This window comes from Homo sapiens, chromosome 5, assembly GCF_000001405.40.
Source record: "Homo sapiens chromosome 5, GRCh38.p14 Primary Assembly".
Lineage (NCBI taxonomy): Eukaryota > Metazoa > Chordata > Mammalia > Primates > Hominidae > Homo > Homo sapiens.
Window position 1 is genome coordinate 57,731,273 of NC_000005.10, and position 5,433 is coordinate 57,736,705.

Sequence of the window (5,433 nt, forward strand, 5' to 3'; positions counted from 1 at the left end):
CAAAGTAATGAAGGTCACACAGCAACAAGCCTTTTTGAGAGTTACCAGCTTTGGTAGAGGCAAAATAAACAGGGGGAACTTCATGCTTCCTGATTCAGGAATTGGAAACTTCAAGAAGGAGGTTGTTTTGATCTGATGGGACTGGAGGTATTAATACAGGGGTTTTTTCAAGCAGACATGCAAGGAGACAGCAATTCATTCATTAATTATCAATTCATTTATTTATTTAACAAATACAGTTAATTCAGTTTCTCAAGCATTTCTTTGAGCACATACTCTCAAACCACTCAATAAACAAAGATCAATTCCTGCTTTCATGAAGCTTATATTCTAGGGAAAGAGATAGAGAATAAAGAATAGGCAAGTACAGTAGAGTATATGTTAGATGATGGCAAGTGTTAAGAAGATAAGTGAGGCAGGAAATGAGGATGGAAGCACCTAGGAAGGTGCCATTTAAGCAAATACCTGAAGGATCTAATGAAACAAGCCATACCAATAAGACAAGAAGGAGAGTCTTGAAGAGGTCAAGGAGGGGTGAGGCCACTGGCATGGCTAGAGATATTGAGAGAGCCGATGAAAACAAAGGCAGAGAGGAGGGGGCTTTTTTGTGGATTAAGTAGGGGATTAAACGTAATCAAAATAAATTAGGCTTTTAATCTTGGTGAGATGGAAAGTCAATGTGGGATTAGAACAGAGAAAACAGAATGTGCAAAGGCCCTGACTAGAGAGAACCAGATAGAGGGGAATTAGAAAGAATTCCACATTTGGCTGTAGTATTGAATACTTTGGAGAATCAAGCAAGACATGGACCAGAAAGGGCCTATTGACTTTAGGAGATCCTAGGTACTTTGATCATTTCCTTGGTTTAGAGAGAAGGAAAGGCAGGTATCCATGGATGAAGCAGTTGGTGGGGCAGAGCCTCGGGTCTTGTTCAGAGGTTGCTGAGGGGCTGACGGGGCAGGCAGGAGTAAATGAAAGACTGAGAGGAGGGTTCTCTGGTCTCCATCCCGTCTCTCAACCAGTGAAGTTGTTCTTTGTGTGTATGTGTGTGTTGATGTTTCAAAAAAGATTTAATTTGAAAAAGAGTGTTCTACTGCTTGAAAAAAAAGGGGCATTAAAAACCAAAAATAGGAAGTGAGAAAATTAATACATCTAGGTGGATGAACTTTCTAAGAAAGGACTGAAAAAGGGGAGACGTAAGCAGTATGGGGATTTGAGGACAGGGTAGAAATTTTTATTTTGTTAAGATAGAGCTAGGTTAAGCTTGTTTTAGGCTGAGAAGAAAGAGCTGTTAAAGTGTAAAAGTTTGATACAAAGAACAACAGGAGGTAATGGGAAAGTGACTAAGCTCTCTTACAGCAGGTAGGAGAGCGTCGGGTCCATAGCAGACATGAATATATTTGCATTATATTTGGTTTATAAGCTATAATTCTTAAAGCTCAAGGATTTCCTTTGACTGTTTTTTTTATGTCATTTAAGCTTCAAATAAACATTTAAATAAGCACTTTTTTTTAAAGAAAGTTGATTTTCATATCTAGTTATTATCCTGCTACCTTTGCCAACATACCAGAATCTTTGATTATTTTTTCTCCTGTGGCGTCAACCTAGAGAGGAAGGATCTTGATTAAATATGCCAACTATCTTTACACTCAATTTGACCAAAGGCCAACTCTTTTTATGTTTGTAATAGGAATGTACTGAACAAATTCTGAAATTCACTTTCATAAACTTTCTTTCTCTTAGACTTTCAGAGTAGGGTAAGTTTTTAAAAAGCCGAGTCACCATGTTCGTCTTTAGGGCAGACAAAAGTCTATGCACTTTTTTTTTTCTTAGACTCCCAGGTAAGGAAATTCTATAATCTACTTTAAAATCTACTCTAGCCCTTAGCAAGATTTCCAATCAAGAGGCTCCTTTTCATCACTAAACTGCTTTGCTGCTGCAGCAGATTTAGTAGATTTCCTAAGGCTTCAGAAGCAGTGGAGAGCAGCCTCCCTTGACTTGGTGTACAGAGTCAGGCCACAGAGACTTCCACTCTTACTTCCCGGGTAGCACACACAGCACAGTCAAATAAATGCCCTCCTGGATTCCTATGCCATTAGGGTATGTGCTAAAAGAGCTCACTGGAGAAAAAGCTGAAATCAATTGTGAGTTAGGGCTTGCTTCCCAACATGTAGCCCAACAACGTAACATCAACACCATTGGGGATCTTGTCACCATCTTCTGAATAACAGGATCCCCTTTTAACAGGATCCACAAATGATTCTTATGGACATTAAAGTTGAGGAGCCACTGCTTTAGATAATTCTTTTGAAATATTATATAATCAGCTTACCGGACTTCAGAATTCCTCCTTTCCCAATGGCTGGCTCTTCAGGGTGGTGTCTTTCTCTTACTCACCTTTGTATTTCTAGTGCCTAGCACAGGGCCTGGCATATGCCCCTTTGATTTCTTTTGGTGTCACAGCTTAATCCATGTTTACTGAATAAGTTGCAGAATCAGTCTAGTGTCACAGTATAATCCTACTGCCATCAGAAGAAATTCATATAAACAATTTTTCTGAATATGGCTTTTACTATAATCATTATTTTAGGCCACATATCATGAAACCAAAAATCCTACTCTAAACTGATGACCTTTTGGTTTCATCTGGGCAGAGTCTCCCTTTTGTTTTAATTCAAAGCATACCTCTATTTCCACATTCCCATTTTTCTGGGGTTCAGTTTATCTTGTGCTATTTAATCTGTTTTTTTTTTTCAGTCTCCCACTTTCTTTTCTTCCCAAATGACTGATGCAGGTGGAGGGTGGCAATTTTTGAGTTATTTTTGTATCTTGTTTTTCCCTTTAGCTTTCATCAAGGTGACACTTTAGAGACTTAAGGTGGGTAAGTGGAAAGACAGAGAGGACTTTCTGTTTTCATCAACACCTGCAAGAGATTTTTCCCTATTCCAACAATAGCATTGATTTTACATTTTACTTGCTCTGAGCAGGATGATACACAAAGGCTTAGCATGATAGATAGTGTTTACTTATTTTTAGACCATTTGTATTTTTCATTTCATGAGACCTCTGCCATTGCACATTTTTGATAGAAAAGTAGCAATCTTTCCTAGGAACATTTCTGCTTTGCTCTTTGACTTGTTTCCCTTCTGCTGGCAATATAGTCATACTGCAGGCTGTTCAAGGATAGAGTTCTTTGTGAAGTGATGAAGATGAATTATTCCTGCCAGACACAAAAACAGTTATTTTACTTGTTACTTAAATTGGAAAGAGACAAAGAATACTGTTCAATTTTAACTTGCCAGCAGGCGTTCAGGGAAAAGGATTTTCCTAACAACTTGGAGAATGCACTTCTAAAACATCTGTCGACATTAAAGTGAGGCTAAAGATCGGTACCAGTGCAAAGCAGAGCTCAATTTTTCTCTCCAATTTCACCAAAATCAGTAGGGAAGGCAAGGGGTGGCAGCTTTACTAATTTATTGGAGAAATGCTCGGGTGAAATGTTGGAAAGACTCTAATTGTTCATGGACTCCCATGTAAGTATAAATTCTCTGCATTATATTTCCTATGGAGGTTACAGTGAGTAGAGAGAAGTTTTTTTGTGGTTGCCAAAATTTAGATAATAAAAGTGGGACTTCAAGATTTAATTGAATAGCTATAGCCTTGAATCAAGAGCAAAATAGTAAAATGTCATTATAGATACGTATCAAGAAGAAAAACAATCCATGATTTCTGAAACTATAGCAGAGTTGCACTGTGCTACAAACACCCAGAGCAAACTCCCCTCAGAGACCGCCCTAAAGGACAAAATGGTTCTTAACTGGAAAAAAAAACACCTTCTGGAATGTCGGCAAAGCATGTAAATTACAGATGATTTTTTAAAATGACTCCCCAACTTTGAAACTCGTAAGCAGATCATGAACAAATGTGTTCAGCAGAACCTGTGGTATGGCCTGGCAGCAACCTCGAGAGAAGGAACTGACATATCCTTACATTTTCAAGTCATGTTTTTACTGTAGAAAAAGAAAAGTGTTGCCTATCGCCCAGTCAATGGAAGTGTCAGAGGTGTGTGAAGTAGAGCAACTCCATCTTGAATAGGAGCTGGGTAAAATAAGGCTGAAACCTACTGGGCTGCATTCCAGACGGTTAAGGCATTCTGAGTCACAGGATGAGATAGGAGGTCGGCACAAGATACAGGTCATAAAGACCTTGCTGATAAAACAGGTTGCAGTAAGAAGCTGGCTAAAACCCAGCAAAATCACAATGGCCAGGAGAAGTACCTCTGGTCATCCTCACTGCTACACTCCCACCAGCGCCATGACAGTTTACAAATGCCATGGCAACATCAGGAAGTTACCCTATATGTTCTAAAAAGGAGAGGCATGAATAATCCACCCCTTGTTTAGCATATCATCAAGAAATAACCATAAAAATGGTCAACCAGCCGCCCTCAGGGCTGCTCTGTCTATGGAGTAGCCATTCTTTTATTCCTTTACTTTCTTAATAAATTTGCTCTCACTTTACCGTATGGACTCACCCTAAACTCTTTCTTGCACAAGATCCAAGAACCCTCTATTGGGGTCTGGATCCGGAGCCCTTTTCTGTAACAGAAGATGGAAACTTGTTTTTCTTTTCATGGTTTGTGTGTTTGGTGGATGAATCAGAGGTCAGACTTGGTCAGACTCTACAGTCAGCCCTTTGGAATTAGGGATTTTTTTCCCAATAACCAAATAGTGACCAACTCTTCTCCTGGCAGTGGGAATATTAAAATTGTTCTTTTAGGCCTGGCTGATTTTCATCTTGTGATGATGTTTTAAAAAAGCAGTCCTATTGTGTTCTCTCATAGTATCTCTCTCTCCTTGACTCCATTCAAATTGTAGGTGGTTCTCAGGAATGCTGTCTAGAGATGTGGAGACCAAGGTATATTTAGTCAAATTTTAGTATCGACATTCGGTTAATTAGAGCTATTTGAGATTGAATGGGAGACACTATGTCAAAAAAGACTCTTAAAAGTTAAAATTCAAGCTTTGATTACTAACTCCATGCCTATTTTCCTGAGAAGTATCTGATGTCTGCCTGAAACACTGTAATTCCTTTCTTCTTTCTTTTTTTAATCCCACTCATTCCTTTTAAAAGTTGACTTTTCTCTTTAATGCCATAGCTCAGGTGATCTATGACACATCTTCATTTCAAGGTTCATCCCTTTGTAATTCACTAGGCAAAGGAAATTCGAATCTCACAGGGACATTTATCTGTTCACGAGAAGAAAGAGGAAGAAAGGGGCCCCCTTAAGATAGTAAGGGAAGGGATTTAGGGAGAGACAAAGATATTTTTCCAGGACTTTTTTGCACCTAGATCCATTTTAAGGCCATTAATCCTTTGATATATGTTTGCAGGTAAGAGAACAAAGGAATCAAACTTGACTGCAATTGGATT

General features: G+C 38.8%; 1 annotated feature.

The window, feature by feature from the left end:
* Positions 3,744 to 4,943: an enhancer, noted in NCBI's record as "P300/CBP strongly-dependent group 1 enhancer chr5:57030843-57032042 (GRCh37/hg19 assembly coordinates)". NCBI's record gives its function as "activates an origin of replication core promoter dependent on BRD2, BRD4, P300/CBP, MED14 and CDK7 cofactors, with strong dependence on P300/CBP, by STARR-seq in HCT116 cells {active_cell/tissue: HCT116}" and the evidence as "EXISTENCE:reporter gene assay evidence [ECO:0000049][PMID:35650434]".